Here is a 21,723-nt window from a genome sequence, read left to right as displayed (position 1 = left end):
TCCTGAATGACTCTTTTGTTTAGACATTTAAGGAAGAACCTATTGGTGTTCATTTAGCATGCTAAACCTGAGTGTTATCACAGATTACTAGTGATCTCTAGCACTGCTGACTATAACAGTGCCATTCATTCAAACAGCTGGATTTCAAGTTTTCAGATCTTTAATATTAAGAAGTATGTGATCCCAGCATAAATAAATGGTTTTCAACACATTTGTATTCTGCATTTGAGAGTTTGGTAAGTGAGGGGAACAGAATCTGCAGCTAAATTTGTCAAGTTAGTGACTCAGGCTTATCATTTTGTAGTTTATGACCATGGAAAAGTAGCTTAAACTTTCTGTCCTGATATCCCTGAACTGTAAAATGGAGTAGGAGTAGTGCTGTTATGAGGATTGATGTGAGTTAATGATGTAAATTACTTTCAACAGTATATGGTACTACTAAGAACTATATGAGTGCTTTTTTTATTATTCTGTGTTGGTGGTAGGTGTGTGTGTGTAGTCATATATTATTGGCTGAAGAAATGAATTGAATTTAAGAAAACTCTTTCAGCTTTATAGTATGTTACTCGAACACTTTGAGATCCATTTTCAAGAGAGGAAGACATTTTCATTTAAATTGCTCCTTTACTGGGTTTTTCTCCTTTCAGTCTTATTTATTCTTCCTCCCTAAATTTGCACTTTTGGACAAGTCTCCACCTGAAGTTGATGTAATTTACATGGCAGCACATATTGCAAAGATTTTTTTTCATGCTGTTACCATACGATATCCAGAACATTTTATATATGAATACAAATCTACAGTTAAATTTGGGTAGCTTCCAAATTTCTATCACTGTGTCATGCACCTTAAATTTAAAGGTTTAAAACTTGATCATATGCATAAAGATTTCTAGGATCATAAACTGTCATCTAAATTTCTCTTTTGTTTTGGTGTGTTTTCATTTGCAATTCCTTTACAGTGATTTTCATGTTCTCTTTACAGGTTATATTTTCTTACACAAAAAAATCTCAATAAATTATATTCCAACATAAAGCAAACCTTTGTATCTATAAGCTGAAAACAGAACCTGAAATACATTACCTGTACACTCTAATTAATGTTACATACATGTATCTTCTTTTCCTTAGGTCATATCCAAGTGAAACCTCTAAATATGCTGTTATTCTTTTTTATTTACAGGGATTGTTGCTTTTAGATTAGAATCAACATATATTACGATTCAGATCACTATGGGTTTTTTTATTTCTTTTTCCTCTACAGTTTATTGCTTTTGCTTCTTTATTCTTCATCCTGGTTTCAATTACAACTTTTTGCCTGGAAACACATGAAGCTTTCAATATTGTTAAAAACAAGACAGAACCAGTCATCAATGGCACAAGTGTTGTTCTACAGTATGAAATTGAAACGGATCCTGCCTTGACGTATGTAGAAGGAGTGTGTGTGGTGTGGTTTACTTTTGAATTTTTAGTCCGTATTGTTTTTTCACCCAATAAACTTGAATTCATCAAAAATCTCTTGAATATCATTGACTTTGTGGCCATCCTACCTTTCTACTTAGAGGTGGGACTCAGTGGGCTGTCATCCAAAGCTGCTAAAGATGTGCTTGGCTTCCTCAGGGTGGTAAGGTTTGTGAGGATCCTGAGAATTTTCAAGCTCACCCGCCATTTTGTAGGTCTGAGGGTGCTTGGACATACTCTTCGAGCTAGTACTAATGAATTTTTGCTGCTGATAATTTTCCTGGCTCTAGGAGTTTTGATATTTGCTACCATGATCTACTATGCCGAGAGAGTGGGAGCTCAACCTAACGACCCTTCAGCTAGTGAGCACACACAGTTCAAAAACATTCCCATTGGGTTCTGGTGGGCTGTAGTGACCATGACTACCCTGGGTTATGGGGATATGTACCCCCAAACATGGTCAGGCATGCTGGTGGGAGCCCTGTGTGCTCTGGCTGGAGTGCTGACAATAGCCATGCCAGTGCCTGTCATTGTCAATAATTTTGGAATGTACTACTCCTTGGCAATGGCAAAGCAGAAACTTCCAAGGAAAAGAAAGAAGCACATCCCTCCTGCTCCTCAGGCAAGCTCACCTACTTTTTGCAAGACAGAATTAAATATGGCCTGCAATAGTACACAGAGTGACACATGTCTGGGCAAAGACAATCGACTTCTGGAACATAACAGATCAGGTAAGGCAGGACTTCAAATGCATGTTATTAAATACTTTATAGACCAGTATGTTCCTTAGGCAGAAGGCAGTCATTCTCATTTTCTGCAAATGTTCATGAGTTTTCAGCCCTAACCCTTTCACGAAATGTGTGTTTGTGTCAGGCTTGTAGATAGCTAGACTGTAGCATTTTCTAATTGAACCCCAAGTAGGAGATGGCATAGCTGGTCTATAGAGTTTTCCTGCTTTAGTGGGAATGCCCTTTGCTGATGGTGCCAATATTTTCTTTTGCCTGTTTGTTGCTTTTGTGCCAATGTTTCTTTGTTTCCCTGCACGATGTGATGGTATGATATTGGCCATTTTTCATCTTTCATCCTCAAAATGTTGATCTCCATATCGTTTGGCTTGGTGTGTTTGTCTCAGTTTTACCTCTGCCACATGGTGCCATGCATCTCAACCTAATTCACAAGAAGCAGTTATTTAAGAAGAATGGATGCTTACATTTCAAAGGCCTAAACTCCAAACAGGTGATATGGAAGATAACCTTTTTGATAACAAAGCTCTTCCCTAGTAATATCCTGGAGGATTGATTAAATTTTCATTGTTCTTAAATTAAGTAGGGTATCTCATTATAACCCCTTTGATGAGGGTCCATGCCATGTAATATAATTAACCCACCATTTTTCAGGGAATAGATGATCTGCTTTGGCCACTCAATGGCAAAGTTGAATTTCTCAGTGGAATTCCTTTTTAGGTACAATGTGTTGGGTTCTGCTCTCTCTCAGAACTGAATTTTGAATGATTTACTGCTTGAGATTAGTTGAATCTCTGCTCCTCCCCATTGCTATAGACAATGTAGAGTTGATCGACTAGAAATTGACATTCAGCTGCCAAAGTAATAGTGATGTCACCTCTTGTCTACTGTCTGGTACAGGTAAAATATTTTGCAGATTAAACAATTTAATTAGCTTTTACCCTACTAGGAAAATGTAGGGTTTATTGATTCCCCATAACTTAGATAAATTTCATTTCATTTTTTCTTACAGAAAAATGACTTATGATGATTTTATGTGAATGATTTTGCATAATTTAGAAGTAACATCAACTAACAAAGCAAACTAACAAAAAAGGAGGCATCATTTTCATAGGTCCCTCCTTAGCTTCTAGAAATTTTAATGAGGTAAATGGAAAAAACAATGTGGCTGGAGCTGAAGTTTGTAAGTGTTTGTAAGTTTCATTCACAGTCCTTATGCTTATTTAGTAGATTGCTATGCAAATTCTTCTAATATATATCTAACAACTGTTAAGAATGTATTTATGAAAGGTAGAGTTTAGTTGGTGTTGCTGCTCTCATCAAACTATTCTCAAGTATCTATGCAGAGCCTTTAAGAAGGGCATGGGAAAAGAGGACACACTATCATCCCAGGTAAACATTGAAATAACAAGCTAGTATCTAGGCCAATAGGATGGTGAAAGTCTTTGGCAAGGATACAGAAGTAAACAGATACTTATTTCAAGGACATTTGGAGAAGTTGGCCTTGTTCCACTGCATGCTCAAAAATATCTTGCCGCTTCAAAATTGACTACCTGGAAACGGAGTTTGTGTGCTTTGGAATAATTTTTATTAAGAGTTTTGGACACAATGCTTTCAGAAATTAATAAAAGCATGTCTCTTAAAAAACCACAAAGCCAAAGTTTACTTAAGATATTTTCTTAAATAGGTTCCATTTTTAAATATTCCTATTCAGAGTAAATAGATAACGTCAAAAATTGTAAGACAATAATCCACATGCTTCTTCATTTTCACATTTATTTTGAATTCATATTAGTCGTGTGAAAGGCAGTTTCCTATTAGATAAAATCCAAAATGGAATTAAAATCTCCCAAAAAACATTTCTATTCTTTTCAATACATTTCCATTTTGCTCCATGTAATTTTTCGTGAAGAGTGATAAAAATTCTTTTTCTTATTGTGATGTGATTCTTGTGTGTTGTATATCGAGTGACTGGACTACCGGCATTCTGTGTAAACTCTTTGTACTGTCTCATTTCCTCATTCATCACTGTCTGTCAATGGGCATGGTGCTGTGACCAGTGTTATCAGGTGACGACAGTACAGGAAGTGAGCCGCCACTATCACCCCCAGAAAGGCTCCCCATCAGACGCTCTAGTACCAGAGACAAAAACAGAAGAGGGGAAACATGTTTCCTACTGACGACAGGTGATTACACGTGTGCTTCTGATGGAGGGATCAGGAAAGGTAGGCATGCATTTAATCAGATCATAACAGGTGACTTAGCAATAAACTGTTGGAAATACATGGAGTAATGTAAAATGCTCATTCATCATTTTCTAGGAAAGACTGCGTACAGTGCTCTTTTCCTCTCTTCATTACATCTTCTCTCCTTAGAAACTTGTTAAAATACATAATAACCTATGTGATCGTCATATCTGAAAGACATCTCATCCTTTTTTCTCTCTTCTTTGGTTTGCCATTTGTCTATGGGCAGAATTGGAATGGAATATGTAAATATTAAATCACTTATCCAATTACTTTAATATAATGTACTCTGCAGTCATTAAAAGTTATCTTTTCTCACTGCAAAAAATAAAACTCACTAATTGGCTCTGTGCACATATTTGATGAGTAATTCATGACTATAAAACAATTATAAGTTTTTTTTTCTCAAAGTAAAGCATTAAACGTTCTCTAATGTTTCTAATCCAGTACATAGGTAGTTTTTGCCAGTGGTTTACCTGAGGGTCTCAAGGTTGCAAAGGCTCGTGATCCGCAGTCATATGGAACAGTATGTCTAATCACTTCAAAGCCTACTTGTGTACTCACAAAATGCACTTACAGAATTTTTCTTCAGGACCAATAATAAAAAATCCTTTTATTACTATTTTTCAACAGACATGAACTGTTCCTGACACCTAGAAGATAATAAATCTTGATTGAATGAATAAAAATTGTGGGATGAGCATCTTTGGTAAAGAGTATAACAGAATATTGAAGCTCCCACTTATCATTTGGGTCCTTTTCCCTTGATTGTACCAACTGTCTAAACTATTCCCTAAAAGGTTTTTTATTCCCTTTTGGTAAACTTTACAACCTTAGGACAATTGGGATCTTTTCCTCCCCTTTAAAAATAGTCTCGTGACTATTATAACCCACTTTTGTCAAAAGTGGTATGCTTTATTATTAGCTTCTACTTTGACAATTCCAGTTGCTTTATTGCCACAGTTATTTTTCCTCTGTTTGTTGACAGAATAGGGAAATAACTATAATAATGTCTTATGGTAATTGACTGAATTTGAATAAAAATCCACTTTAAAACTTTCATATTAGCACAACTGCATTTAAATAATACCGTGCTTAGTTGTTATTCATTGGAGTTTCTCCCTATTGAATTATTTACCATTTTAAGGTTCAAATATTTATTTTGTGAATCTCTTTTTCTTTGAAATATTTTATTGCCCATGTTGTACTTCTCTTCATTTCTTTTGGTCACTTTAGATTTTTCTTCTCTGCTTCTATGCCTTTGAGACTTAAAAGAGAAGACAAAAGACTCTTGTTCCTTTCATGAGTAATATTTTAAATACCTCTCCATTCCAATTACTTCCATTGTTTGCATCTATTTCTTGCACCAAAATGTATTTCAATCCTCTCAATAGATTTATTTGGTTGTTTACTGTTTTACATTAAATATGTGCTAGAAAAATCTTTAAATATATTTTGAAGAGAGTGAATACACTATCATAGTATTTGAGCAAAATATATGTACATGTTAAATAATAATCATCATATCAAACTAATATTTTATATAGAACATGCTGTTCCAAGTGCATTGAATATCTTAAATCACTATATGCAATGTATATACATGTTAAATTTACATACATTTTTAAGCAGCATTCAATAAGATTATCACATGTAATATTTATACTAAGATTATGTGTTTAAAGAACTCTAGAATGTTTTTCTTCTATGTTAGACAATGTTTTGAGTTTTAAACTGTCAAAGAAAATCACGAATGAGAAAAAGCTTTGCAAATTATAAGGCACTATCTAAATACAAAGTTTTACTATAAAATTGCAAAGTTTTGCAAGCAAAGCAATTAATAAGATATTTAGTTTGCATGGAAAATTTATACATGCAATCTTATTTCACAAATATAAATTCTTTTTATTAGTGAGAACATCATTGAAAATTTATTCATGAGTTTTTTATTGTTTGTCATTTCTTATCATAATCAACTCTTTTTCATTCTTGCTTAAGTAGTTTATAGTTATATGTTTTTTCCTACTAAGCATGATAGTACTTCTGGCTAACTTCACTTAATCGTTTCAGTTGGTTATCTTATCATATCTATCACAAATTTATTCATTTCTTCTCCTGTTTCCCTTTTTGTAGGTTATAGATTTCTGCTGTTATTTCTATTCATTTATTTTCTATATAATCCTTTCATTTATTTATCCCTCAAGTTGGTCTATCTGCTGATTTGATTTTAATATTTAAAAATTCTCTCTGTAAGTGAAAATAAATTACTGGATTCCCACTGAATTATTTTTCTAGCTAAAAATATGAACGTAATTGGGCATATATTAAGAAAACTTTAAGGATTCACTAAAAGAGTAAACTCTCAATACTTAGAATGCATGTTTGTTGTTTTAAGAAAGCATATTGCATAAACTAAAACATGCTCGTGAATAGCACATGGGTAGGTAGTTTCAGTATTGCCACAAATAAGCTCATGCTCTTAAGAATTATTTAAAATGAATGCTGTATATCTAGAAGTTAGTTCAAAATAAGTTCAACAGTGTTTACCCTCATGAATTATATTTTTAGCCATTCGAGTAAAACCTTGATTAAGCAACATTTTATCAAATTTTCTAATCATAAATGAACATGTAGAATAAAGAAAAAATATGTACATGAATAATATATAGTTTTACTAATAAATACTTGTTACTAAATTAGAAAGGAAGCCTTTTCAAATAGGCACTGAAATTATAGTCATTAGAAATATAGGACCCATAAACAGAATAGAATATTTATAGTAAAACTATAATTCAGAAAGATAACATTTAGAATGGCAACCAAGTTTTATATGTTACTGGCATGAACACTATAAAACTGCCAAAGAGAATTTTATCTTTCTGGGGGTCTTGTAGGAGCAAGGAGATTGTAGAGAACAGAGTTGTAAATCTGTGTGATGATGTATAATTATTAACAGCCCATTTAGTTCATGCATATTCACCACTTCGCCTTTAATCGAAGCCAATCAATGTTTATCGTCTAGTTTACGTTTTTAGGTTATACAGTCAACTTCGATGGCATAGGATAATTTTTTCCTACAATTCCCAAAGTTATATTTTCAGTCACTTTTCAGAAGAGCAGTAATAACTAACCCTCTGTGCATGTGAAAATTTCTATTTAGGGACAAATTACTTGCAATTCTTAAATATTATTCCAGATATCCTCCCACTATTCCATCATTCACCAACATAAAATGAAATATATACCACTTCTCATGTTTTATAGCTCAGAATACTAACAAAACATTGGCAGATAATTATTTAATTAGCAGAGACTATGTGCTAGAGAACATTTATCATAGTTAATGGATGACATAAATTTCTATCTACAAAATTTCTAAGAAAGCAACTAGTCTGCTGAAGGTTAATGTGTGTGCATTTTGTGAGGGGAGGGGAATGTTCATCGTTTTCTTTTCTTATCCAGTCCAGCTTCACCTCATAAGAGAGCTTTACCCCGTAAGAGAGCTGTTACTGCGATCCATACCTATGTCTGTCTTGGCCTCTCATACATAAAATAATCAGATACATCACTTTTTCTCTTCCAATGAAAAGAGGAAAGCTATCCATGGCTTCTTCTCTGGAAGTTCCATGAAAAGATTGAATTAAAGATGAATAGCTGAAAGGTACATAAAGAAAAACAATGGACCCATTTTTTTTTTCTCACACACTCATCGAGTACACTGAGGTCTGATTAGAATCCAAAAAGTAAGTCATATAGTGTAAGGGAGGCAAGTAGTCCACTAGAATTGTATCTACTTGCTCAATTTTGGTTGCCAAAAAAGAATTTCATTTTCCTGTTCTATAACAATTTTTCAAGAAGCTGTCAGAATATTCATCTCCAAAGCTTTGTAGCATGACTACTTTTTTAGTCAATAGTTGCCCTGCTTTAAGATATTTCACTTCAAAATTTATACTAGGTGCTTTCCACCTCGTTTAACTGTCTGTAATATTTTGTAATAAAAAATACTAAAATATGCAAATATTTCCAAAGGTGACCTTGATAGGGTTGCTTAAGTAGCTAAGGAATAAGACTAAAGTTTATGAGAGCATCTTTTATTTTGTAAGTTCGTAGCTATCATGAACAAAAGATCAAGGTGTGATATAATAGAAAGAAAAGATGAATTAACACCAAATTATTCTCAATTCCTGGGTGGGAAGGTCGGGGGTGGAAATCAGCTGAAAACATCATGTAATCAAATTCAAACTTATTTCACTGAAATTATGACTTAATTTATATTTCATTCATTTTCTTTTTTTTTCCTTTACTTTTCTTACCCAAGGAATTAGAAATGGGCATTCCATCCTACATCACCTGGATAATGGCACCAAATGCCATTATTTAAGAATCATCTTTTAACCCTATAAAGCTGGAAGATTAAATATGCTGGAAAAAGAGTTGTCCATTTAAACTTAAGTATGCTTTATTGGCTTAGGAAATAAAAAATGAAAAGAGAAAAAGTAGCCTACTTATTTCTCTTTTTTTCAAGAATACATTCTGAAATTTAAAAATATTAGTCAAGCTTATATCTTACTTAAGTTGCTTTGCCTAATTTTTAAATGAGTTCTAGTATTCTATATGCCAAAATTATATTAATGCTAACTATAATCTGGGAAAAAATATATTTTGAAGTATTGTAACAATAATTTGTGATGGCTGGTTTAATCTTTTCAAAATGGCAACTACAGTGAGCTTCATTTTTTTAGAGTTATAAATTGTCTCAATATTAAATTCTTTGTAAACAAATTCTTCTTTGAGCTTGAAAGTAGCACTTTTGATTGCCCTGCATGGTATTATTTGTCTGTCTATATTCTGGTTGAATTCAACTGATGTCTGTGCATTTTTTCATAAAAGGATATGAAAAATCCCGAAGCTTAAACAACATAGCGGGCTTGGCAGGCAATGCTCTGAGGCTCTCTCCAGTAACATCACCCTACAACTCTCCTTGTCCTCTGAGGCGCTCTCGATCTCCCATCCCATCTATCTTGTAAACCAAACAACCAAACTGCATCAGTCGGCTAAATTGTATTAATTCAAGTGCTGTTTACCCCATAATGGAAATAATTAAATGTAGAGTTACTCCAGGCTCCATTAATACAGTATAAATCTTGCATGATACTACAATTTGAAGTCAGAAATGCCACTTGGGTAGCTAATGAATCTTACCCAGGCTTTAAAGATTGTCTAAAGTAGTGCTAAGATCCCTCCTATTAATTGCCCTGATATCCTTTTGCAATAAAATGACAGATAGTGTCAGATATTGACCAGTGCACTAATATATAAACATACCTTCAGGGAGATATATTTAAAACAGTGTGCTTCCAAATGCCAACCACTTCATTGGAACTTTATTTCTTGTGACTGTAAACCATTCTGAAGATGTCTGGGATCCTATCTTGATTGCACACGACATGACTTGTGTCAGCTCATTTGCATGGACCATCTTGTCTCTATCACCTGAAAGCAATGTTGCAGAGTTCGGGGACTGTGGATAGCTCAGGATATGTGTACTTGCATCGAACCATCCTGCTGATATGAAAGCATTGGTCGACTGTTCTGCATGTTGAATTGTGGGGCAGGGAGGGCACTTTTCTCCTTGACATTTTTTTCTTATTATTTGAAAGAAATATATGTTTTAAATAGTTTAATTTCTTGATTGATTTACTTTTCTTCAAAAATGCTGTATTGGAGTTCTGAATGTCTCTGGTTGTTTGCACACAGATAACTGCAAAGAGGTTGTCATTACTGGTTACACGCAAGCCGAGGCCAGATCTCTTACTTAATGACTTGGGGAAGGCACAAAACATGAGAGAAAGGTAACTGCCAGCCAGGCTTGCATTGTTTAGCCAGAAATTGCTGCTTGGTTCTAGACTCTTTAAAAAAAAAAAATACCCAGGGTTTGTCATCATTTTCAGAGGCAGAGTGCCAAATATCACCCAAAGCTCTTGTGTCTTTTTTTTACCCCCTTATTTTATTTTTATTTATTAATTTTTTGTGCAAACATCAAATGTCACTGGTGTTCACAGAAGGCTTTTTTGACTAGCCTTAAATTCCTGAGTCAAAAGATTAATCAGATTTTCAGGCAGTGTTTAATCAGGTGCTTTGTCCTGTATGTTGTTCTTGTCTGTCTTAGCTCCCTGTCTTTCCTGTATATGCCATCTGTCTCCATGAAGCACAGAAATGCCTCTGTAAGATGTTTATGATTTTAATATTTACTCCCTCCAAACCCGACTCCATACCATTTTTTGCTATTTGGAGCAGCCTCTCTGCTTTGTGTATAAATTAATGATGCTCTGTAGACTACCTAAGTTAATCGGCACTGTGAATCTTTTTGATAAGCAGGGTTTAAGCAGCAATTTCACCATTGCACTTGGTTGCCTGCTGCAGTGTCAGTTTCTACTACCTAGCAACCAGCATTCATTACTACACTCCAACAAAATCCTTAGGGAGTCATATTCAGTCTGAGTGGAAGAAAGTCTATTTATGCATTCCTATGAATTCAACAGCAATAGCGTGTCTCATGTATTGAGCATGTGAGGGAAGAAAAAGACCGTAATATAAATAGAGGGATAAATAATATCACTAAGGCATTTGGGAGCCTTGAGACTGCTGATTAATTCCTATTTCTCATGTTTATTTTTTGTTAGGAAGACAATTGTCACTTTTATTATTGGCCACGAAACATGTATTACTCTATATCCCCAAGTCCTAGAGCATGACCTGCATGTTGGAGATGTTGTACAGCAATGTATTTATCCAGACATACATATATGATATTTAGAGACACAGTGATTCTTTTGATAACACCACACATAGAACATTATAATTACACACAAATTTATGGTAAAAGAATTAATATGCTGTCTGGTGCTGCTGTTATTGACTACAGTGTTGTACAGAATTTATCATGGATTATTGACTGCTGAGAAAGGGACAGTGGAATTTAGCCATACCAAGGACTATACTGGAAACAGACTTCTGCTGCTGAATGTGCCCTGATGTGACCAGGTTGCACTTGGAAGAGATCCTCGCGTCTTCATGAGGCACTTAAAGCTTATAAAAGAACTGCGGCTGGAACTCATCTGGTGCTCCCCATGAGAGTGCTCTGCTTGTAGACTGGCCAGTGTCCATGAAACAACTGTAAATACCAACATGTGTGCATGGGTCAACAGTCTTGGCCATTTCTCATCAAAAGAAGCCAAATTCATGATCAACATCTCTGAAGTTTCAAGTAAGGCCCACACTTCTTTGAATTACTCTTCATGGGCCCACATTAGGTTGTGCTGTGAATTACTTAAGGCAGTGATACTGATGTAGTATAGTTTTGTCTTAATTTCCCTTATTTCTACTTCTTTGGTTGAATCTATGAACTTGATTGTATAATTTTCTTATAAATTACTGATGTAATCAGCTTGTCAATTATGTTGTGAAATTGTTAGTATTCATTTATCAAAAATGACCTATGTTTAGTCACATATTTGTTTAGTTCTGGGAAATTGTTATAGCTTAAATGGAACTCACCAACATTATTCATAGTTTAAGTCTTTTATCATTATTACCTCAATTATAAATATTACAAAAACATAATTCTGGCAATGAGAGTATTTTTTTATTCAATGATCAAGGAGCAATGTCAGTATATAGTAGAATATCAATTAAATTATATCCTAAAATGTATATTTTGCATAAAAGAGATATTCTTTAATCAATTACTTTTTTGTGAGTTTTGTGGCAAATGAAGCTTGTACGTGTCTTTAAAACTGTTGTAGATGAAACTGTATAAGATTTTTACATCTTGCTTAATCAATATTTTCAGAGTCTATTAGTTCCCCTGGGATTCTGAATATAACATATAGCCTATTATAAATCCCTGTATCGTGGACCTTTTGTGAACATTTCAAGGCGCATGCACAACCTTGATGATAACCAGTGGAAATGTAACTAACTGAAATGAAGAATAAAAGGCAAATGAGCTGGGGATAAACTTGAATGTTATCTGATTAAATTACTCAAATTATTGTCTTGGCTCTTTTCTTTGTGGTGCAGTTTTCAACAGACTTTACTATTTTTATGTTTTATGGTATCACACCAGGCTCTTGTATGCAATGAAGGATTTGGGATAAAAGGATTTAAAAACATACACAGCTCTAACTATCTATCATTCAAGCGTTAGGCAAATAGCCAGTGTATTCTTCTTCTTTCACCTGCCTATATTTCTCTCATAATTCTGAGATTTAAAAATTACTGAGTATTATGGTATCTGACATTTATAAAGTATTTATGATTAGTGCTGAAATTTTCTTTTTTCCTATAGAGATGGGGGTCTTGCTATGTTACCTAGGCTGTTCTCGAACTCCTGGCCTCAAATAATTCTCCTGCCTCAGCCTCCCGAAGGGCTGAATTTATATTTATGTTTTCCAGGTTAATCATTACAGCAATCCTAGAGGCAGATAATTTTGTTTTCATTTTACGGGTGATAAAGTTAAGGATGAGAGAGGCAGAACTGTTCATTTACATTTTTGCCACAGATAATGTTCCCTGTAATACTTTTTTGTGGATTAAATATTTACTGGGCCTCTAGTTGTAAATGCCCTATCAAAGATGGCTTCTGTCTCACCTTTGGGTAACAGGCCTCTCTTTCAGAAGCACATCATACATAGTTGGCCTTCCATTTATATTGTGGGAATACATATAAGTTTACCCTATAAACTTCTATGTCACCATCCAGGGGTAGGAGAGGGGTGAGATAAAAGAAAAAAATACTGGAGAATTCAACACTTTTGACTAAGCAAAGCAAAATCTTTTCTATATCTTTTCTGTGCCTAAAAATGTTCCATGTTGACTCTTAAGAGACTATTAAGAAACAGCTCAGAAAAGGGAATCTGTCCAAATATAATTACTATTAAAATATTTTTAATGATGTCAGGATGTTGGATTTACTGTAAAAAGGAAAAATGTGTAGGAAGAGGAAATAATGCATTGTAATAGATAATAATTGCCATCAAATTTTGATTAAAAATCAGGATTAAAAAGTCATGAATGAAAAGTTAAGACATTCATTTTATCCTTGAAATAAATCACTAGACATACTAATAGAATAGCAAAAGTGAACTTATCTTAGACAATGAATATTGTCAGGCTGTAGTGAATATTAACAGGCTACATTACAAAGCAGAGACTTCAGAGGATTTATGACATGCTTGAAGACATTTAGAGCTAAATGAATCTATTAAATTATTGAAATCCATGGAAGTTTCAGATGATTAAAATATGTAGTTAAATTTTTTTCTTACTGAAAAAAATTCTTTCTTCCATCCAATTTCCACTGCCAAAATTTAATTAATTGTTTAAATGCCCAAACATTATTAAACTATAGATATATGCTAATATTCTGTAATGTGAGCTCAGTGTCATTAATATTGATTTTAAATTTTCTAATTTCCTGTTCTTCGCCAAACTTTGTTCAGAGGATATGATGTGTTTCACTATTCTCTGAAAATAAAATAATTTGATAGAATTAATATTACAAGATTGATTTTGTTATCACACTATCATGTCAAAGCGACCAACGACTGAATATGCAATTTGAATACTAAGATCGTCAAAGGATGTGGCCACCACCATTGTGAATCCCAGATAACCTAACATTCATTTGTTTAAAAAATATTTTATTTTTTAAAGAAGTTTTAGCCTCGCAGGAAAATTCAGCAGATTTTCATGTAGCTCTGCCCCCGTACATGCACAACTTCCCCCACTATGGACATTTCACTCTACAGGGGTGCATCTGTTACAATTGAAGAGCCTATAACTACACTGACTCATCATTAATACCCAAAGTCCATAGTTTATGTTAGAGTTCACTATAGGTACTCTACATTCTATGGGTATTGAGAAATGTATAATGACATGCATCCACCATTGTAGTATCATATAGAATAGTTTACCCTAAAAATCCTCTGTGTTAATCCAATTCATCCTTTCTTCCCCTTAATTTTAGCGGGGGTGGGGGGGGATCTTTTTACTGTCTCCATAGTTTTGCCTTTTCCAGAATGTCATATAGTTGGAATGGTACAGTATGTATTTTTTTTTCAGATTGGTTTATTTACTTAGTAATACACATTTAGGGTTTTTCCATGTCTTTTCATGACTTGATAGCTCATTTATTTTTAGCACTGTATAATAATTGCATTCTCTGGACATACCACAGCTTATCCATTCACCTACTGGATATTGTATTCATCAGGGTTTTTCAGAGAAAAAGAACTCATAGAATGAAAATACACCCACCCCCCCACCCCCCCACATCCCCACATCCCCACACACAATTATATAAAGAGATTTATTATAAGTGATTGGCTCATGTGATTATGGAGGCTGAGAAGTACCATAATCATAATTTGCTATCCACAAGCTAGGGACCCGGGACAACAAGTGGTATAATTTCAGTCTGAATTTGAAGGTCTGAGAATCAGAACTGATGGTGTAAATTCCCATTCAAATCCAAAGGCCTGAGAGGAAGTAGTACTTATGTAAGTCTCAGTCCAAGAAAAGAAGACTGACATGCCAGATCAAACAGCCAGGCAGAGAGAGTGGAATCTTTCCTCCTCTACTTTTTTGTTCCATTCAGGCACTCAGATTGGATCTTGCCCACCCACATTAAGAAAGGCAATCTGCTTTACTCAGTCCATTGATTCAAATTCTAATTTCTTCCAGAAACACTCTCAGAGACACACTCAGAAATATTGTTTAACTAGATGTCTGCCCTAGTCAACTTGATGCATAAAATTAACCATCACAAATCCATTCCTTGTCAACTTGGCACTCTTGGCACTTCAAAAGCAGCTCCTTAAACCATAATCTCCAAGTAAAGACAAGAATGAGGTCAAAATTCTGCCTAATGTAGTACAACTATCGCGTTTTTGTCCAAAAGTGTACTAAACCAGAAGAGACGATAAATTCCTTGAGTGATGATTACTCTTCTCTTTAATATCCTATAACTTAAAAATTCTGATACAAAATTAATAGTGCTTAAATACTACAACATAAAGTCAAAATATATCATGTTGCATGATAAAGAAATGAGAGAAAAGAAAACAAAGATTTTTATATACATACATACAATGTATACATAACAAAATAAGGAGCAAATACTCATGGCAATTACAATTCTGAAATTGACCACATAGCCATAGCTGGTATTTATGACTACCATCTTCCATCACCCATTCTGTATTCCTTTTACCTTCAGCAAGCACCTCAGCTGGTTTACTTGGTGGGGTTACCCAAACTTTCTGAACTGGGTTGTTGTAGTTTTCCACTGACCTTAATCACTGGATATGGTAACATTAAAGACACTGTAAAAGATTTTCTGTGTTCCAGCCACGTTCTTTCTTGCCTGCATTGCAGAGTAGTAGTCCAATTGTGCATTGGTAGTCAGAGTCAATCACCCCAGCCAGCACAGTAACTCTCTTCTTTGCCTTTTGTTTAACAGGCATGAAGAGCCCAGTGACTGGGCATAAGTCTTAACTTGCATTTCAGTGGAATCGTTGTTTTGTCCCCTGGTGAAAACATTTCTCCCTTTAGAAGTAAGACTTCTAGGCCAGGAGGGTATTCGGTCATGGAAACAGGAAGCAAAAATGTTGTTATTGGGGCACTAGGAGTAAGAGTGAGTGGTGCCACTCTCATTTTCACCCCTTGATTTCTAGACCCATGAATCCTGGCTGTGAAAGAAACAGCACCATATATTGGATGCTAATTCAGAAAATACATAGCCTTCTGGAGAACCTCATTCCAGTCTTACAAGTATTGCTACCTAGCTAGTGCTATAAACTGAGTATCCAAAGGCCATTCACCATTATCTCAGAAACCAGCATTTCAGGATGGTGGGGAACATGGTAAGACCAGTAAATTCCATGAGCATGGGCCCACTGTCCTGCTTCTTTTGTTGGGAAGTGAGTTTCTTGATCAGAAGCAATGCTGTGTAGAAAACGTGTAGTGGATAAGGCATTCTGTAATTCCAGGCATGGTAGTTTAGGTAGAAGCATTGAGTGCAAGGAAGACAAATCTATATCCAGAGTAAATCTGTAATCCAATAAATCCAATAAGAACTAAATGTTGCCCCTCCCATGATGGAAGCAGTCCAGTATAATCAACCTATCACCCAAGAATGAGTTAATCATGGCAGGAAATGGTGCCTTATTGGAGACCAGTGTTGATCTCTGCTGCTGGCAGATTAGACATTCAGCAATGGCCATACCCAGGCTGACCTTGGTGAGTAGAAGTCCATGTTGTTGAGCCCATGTATGACCTACATCCTCACCACCATAGCCACTTTGTTCATGAGCCCACTGAATGATGACAGGAAGGGCTGGGGAAATAGACTGACTGGTATCCACAAAATGGGTCATCCTATCCACTTCATTATGAAAATGTTCCTCTGTTGAGGTCACCCTTTGGTGACCATTCACATGCAACACATTTATCTTCGTTTTTTGCTCTTTCAGAAAGGTCCAACCACATGTTTCCCCAAATTTCCTTGTCACCAGTTTTCCTATCATGTTTCTTCTAATTCCCTGACCATCCAGTCACACGATTAGCCACAGCCCATGTATTAGGTTTATAATGACACATTTGGCCATTTCTCTTTCTAAGCAAGGAAAACAACCAGATTTACTCCTGAAAGTTCTGCTCACTGGGAAGATTTCCCTTACCACTGCTCTTCAGGAATGTCCCCGAAAGAGGTTGTAATCCGGCAGCTGTCTACTTTTGGGTGATGTCAACATATCATACAGAACCATCTGTAAACCAGGCCAGAGTTTTCTCTTCCCTTGTCACTGATATTAAGAAACTCCTCAGTAAGACATAGGTGTAGGCAGCTGGGAGAGAGAAGGCAGTGTAGCAGCAGTGGAAACCATGAGCATTTGGCTATTTCTTCATATAACTTAATTGTGCCTCAGGCTCAGTTACTTATACAGCAATTCTATTTGATGATGAAGTGCTGCTGTGGATACCTACCCAGTTCATAATAGTCAGCTCAGGGTGCATGGTAACTTGGTGGTCCATGGTTATGTGTTCAGTCACTACTAATACCCAGTACCAGTCCAAGAGCTGTTTCTTAAAAGGAGAGTAGTTATCTGCAGAAGATGGCAAAGCTTTGCCCTGCAATCTTGAATCTATGCTGTGATTTACCTGTGGTTTCCTGCCAAAGGCTGAAAATAGCATCCCAATCTACCTTTGAATTTGCCATTGAATCTCCTGAATCATATGGCCCAAGTGGCAGAGCAGATTGCCCAGCAGCCTAGACCTGTTGCAAAGCCTTGTCTTTCTGTGTCCCACTCAAAAGTAGCAGTTTTTCAGGTCACTAAGTAAATGGGCAGCAGTAACACATCCCAATGAATTACATATTGCCTTCAAAATCCAAAGAGACCCATTATATATTTTGCCTTGTTTGGGATTGTAGGAGAGGCCAGAGGCAACAACTTATTCCTCACCTTAGAAAAGATATCTTGGCACGCCATATGCCACTGGACCTCTAGAAATTTCACTTAGGTAGAATGCTCTGAATTTTTGTCAGATTTGTTTACTACTTTCTGACATGAAACTCTCTTTCCAGTAAGTCTGGAGTGGTTGTTACTTCTTGCTCACTAAGTCCAATCAGCATAATGCTATTGATGTAATTGACGCGTGATATTTTAGGGAAGGAAAAGGTGATCAAGATTTCTGCAAAGTAAATTATGACATAGGGCTGGAGAGTATGATATACTCCTGAGGTAGATGGTATGGGTGTGTTGCTGGCCTTGTCAGCGAAAACCAAACAGCTTCTGGTGGGCCTTATTGACAGGGATGAAAGAAAAGGCATTTGCCACATTAACAGTTCTATACCAAGCATTAGGTGATGTGTTAATTTGCTCAAGCAATGAAACTACATCTGATATACCAACTGCAATTGGAACCACTACCTAGTTAAGCTTACAATAATTCACTGTCAGTCTCCAAGATCAATCTTTCTTCTGCATAGGTAAAATAGGAGAGTTAAATGGGGATGTGGGTGGGGATCAGCATCCCAGCATCTTTCTAGTCCCGGATAGTGGGACTAATCTTTGAAATTCCTACAGGAATGCAATGTTGCTTTCAGTTTACTGGCATTTCTAATGGCTTCCACTTACTTTTCCCACCATAATAGCCCTCACTCCACATATCAGGGAGCCAGTTATTGAGTATACCTATTCCAATTGTGCATTCTGAGTCTGTATAAATAACCAAAGGATGGGGTAAGGGACTTTTCCTGGGCTTACTGTGAGATAGACTTGAGCTAAAGCTTCATCACCTGACTTCAATAACCCATAATATGACTGTTAGACCACAGTGACATTTTATGCCTTCTGGAATTCATGTCAGTTGAGAGCTAGTGTCTAGTATTCTCCAAAAGGTCTGATTATTTCCTTTTCCCCTAGTGCACAGCTACCCTGATAAAAGGTCATAAGTCTCTTTGGGGAAGTCTGGGAGAAAGATCACCAATATAAATTTTTGGTAGTGTACTGGGATCCTTCCTCAAGGGTACCTGGCCTCCCCTTTGTTCAAAAGACTTTGGATATGGGCCAGGCATGGTGGCTCATGCCTGGAAGCCCAGCACTTTGGGAGGTGGAGGTGGGCAGATCACTTAAGATCAGGAGTTTGAGACCAGCCTGACCAATATGGTGAAACCTGTCTCTACTAAAAATATAAAAATTAACCAGGTGTGGTAGCACATGCCTGTAATCCCACATACTCGGGAGGTTGAGGCAGGAGAATTGCTTGAACCAGGGAGGCAGAAGTTGCAGTGAGCCGAGATTGTGCCACTGCACTCCAGCCTGGGCAATGGAGTGAGAAAGACTTTGGGTCTGTAAACTGGATCAACTCTGGGAATTGGTTGATAAGCAGTGCCTCTGTCTTAATGTTTCAGGTTAGACTTTTACTTCTTTCACCTAAAACTTTTCTGTTTATATAGATCAAGTAACAATTTAGTAGGAATAAATAGGAATATTTATTTCATTTCTAGGAACACCATGATAAACGAGCCAATGCAATAGGTGTGTAGGAGCCAGACTATTCTTATTGCTGCTTTGACTCTGCCATTCACTATGGCAACTACACCTACCTTTCCATTGATGACTGAGTGCCACCACTTTAAACATTCCACCCTGGAATCAGTTGCTTCCATTGCATTTAGGATTCCTGATTCAGTGGCTGTAGTTCCCACCCCACGGTCTTGCCTACAGAAAAGTGAGATCACAGAATACTTCAAGAATACCATGGCTCCCCTCACAAATTTTGTTCTCATGCTAGTAGAGAAAGATATATCTTCTGGACCCTTCCAGTGTAAATGAGTAGATCTGCAATGACAAAATCCCATCTAACATTCAAGTCTTCCAAAGCCTTTAAATTCCTTCCTCTACATTAAACCAAGGCTGGTCTGGCATTTCTAATTTGCTCACTGCAGGTTATGAGGTCCATGTTTTAGCCAACCAACCAATAAAACTGTTAGAATCCTTTTTAATTTCCACAAGCATCAACATTAAATGCAAAATCTCTGCTTAGTGATCTTATATCATTAAATTTGGCCTGATCTAACTTTATGTTGCTTCCAACATTATCCCATACTCTTAATATCCATTTCTACATACATGTTCCCTGGTTTCTTCTTGCAGAAATTAGAAAACTCAAGTAGTTCTTTTGGAGTGTAGGACAATTCTTCATTGGTCACACTTTGTACCTTACCTTTGGAGATCTGCTGAGATTTGTGAGTAGTTACAGGTCTAGAAGAAAGAGGGCTGGTGGGGGTTTGGCTTGAAGAAAGTCAGCAATGTCTTGCATGGCAACTGCCTCAGAGAAGGTCATTATGGATTCCTCAGGCAATGCAGGATTCATTTCCTCAGACAAGGAAAGGATGGAAAGGCTGATACTGCTGGGAGTTGGGAGGACATTTCTGCTAGGAATGGGAGGTCATTCTTCCTGCAGGTAGGGGACACATTTCTCACTGGCAAAGAAGACTCAGGATTTAGGGGCTTGATGTTCTCAGCTTCATCAGTGTTTTCCCACATGTTACCATCCCAATTTACAGGATCCTATTTTTTCCCAATTAGGGAAAAAATGGAGTTCAGTTTCCATTGTAGTTCAGCCAGTTACAGGATGAGATTCTTCATTTGATTTTCAGCAATTTCAATCTTATAGCTACAGTAGATAAGGGTCTCCTTCAGTGGACACCTGGAAGCTTTCAGGTCATTTATGTGGTACTTGAGCTAGAAGTTTGAATCTCTGTGATAATCCTTTTGTTTCCCTGCTTTTTCAGTCACATTAGTAGCAATCAGACAACCTCATTGTATTTGTTAGTTTTCCAAAAATTCTGGAAAGTATTAAACACACAGTCACCCAGCTCTTTGCTTCTTATAAGTGGTTGACTAAGAATACTGTATGTAGTTAGTTTGTGTATCTCTCAGCAGTTGATGCCATGGAACATCGATGCTCTCTTTACTACTGAAAATAGTCTTCACATCTTCAAACCCAATCAGATTAGAAAGTCAGTTCCCAAAATCCCAGAACCAATATACAAAACTTATTCTTAAAATTCTGTTCCTCTAGAACCACCTTCAGTAATAGAGTCTACATTAGTCAAGGTTTTCCAGAGAAACAGAACCAATAGGAGATTATATATATATATATAGATTTATTATAAGAAAGTTGCTCACATGGTTATAAAAGGCTGAGAAATGTCATGTTTGTATGCCAGAGACCCAGAAAAGCCAGTAGACTAGTTTTAGTCTGAGTTTCTGAGTCTAAAGTCTTGAGAGCCAAGAGTGCTGATTATATAAGACCCAGTTAAAGGCCACAGAAGATCAATGTTCCAGATCAAAAAGTCAAGAAGAGAGAGTGAATTCTCATTTCTTTCATCACTTTTGTCTTTTTAGGCCCACAAAAAATTGGATGATACTCGCTCACATTGGAGAAGGCAACTTACTTTGTTTAGTCTATTAATTCAAATGCTACTGTCTTCTGGAAACACCCTCAGAGACTTACCTAGCAATATTATTTAACCAGATATCTGGGCATCCAGGCAAGTTGACAAGTTGACACATAAAATTAGCTATCACAGACATCTTACTGCTATAAACATCTGTGTTCAGGTTTCTGTGTGGAAATAAAATTTCAACTTATTTGGGTAAATAACAAGGAGCACAATTTCTGGATCATATGGTAACAGTCGG

At 36.1% G+C, this 21,723-nt stretch overlaps 1 protein-coding gene across 27 annotated transcripts in view; it reads left to right on the top strand.

Annotated features, from left to right (window-relative positions):
* Positions 1–12,501, top strand: part of KCNC2 (potassium voltage-gated channel subfamily C member 2) — a 169,762-nt gene extending 157,261 nt beyond the window's left edge. For 2 of the 27 annotated variants that reach the window (NM_139136.4, NM_001414196.1), the window contains 4 exons: positions 1,262–2,189; positions 4,262–4,426; positions 10,205–10,299; positions 11,373–12,501. In NM_139136.4, the coding sequence (NP_631874.1) occupies positions 1,262–2,189; positions 4,262–4,426; positions 10,205–10,266 (1,155 nt within the window). In that variant the 3' untranslated portion in view covers positions 10,267–10,299; positions 11,373–12,501. Of the gene's footprint in view, positions 1–1,261; positions 2,190–2,590; positions 2,738–4,261; positions 4,427–8,765 lie in introns of all 27 variants that reach the window. The other 25 variants (NM_001414202.1, XM_047428813.1, NM_001414206.1 and 22 more) reach the window with 19 other exon arrangements.
* Positions 12,502–21,723: the final 9,222 nt, after the last annotated feature.

Source organism: Homo sapiens, chromosome 12, assembly GCF_000001405.40.
Source record: "Homo sapiens chromosome 12, GRCh38.p14 Primary Assembly".
NCBI classification, from domain to species: domain Eukaryota; kingdom Metazoa; phylum Chordata; class Mammalia; order Primates; family Hominidae; genus Homo; species Homo sapiens.
The sequence above is the reverse complement of the archived record's forward strand: the minus strand, read 5'-3'. Positions and strand labels throughout refer to the sequence as shown.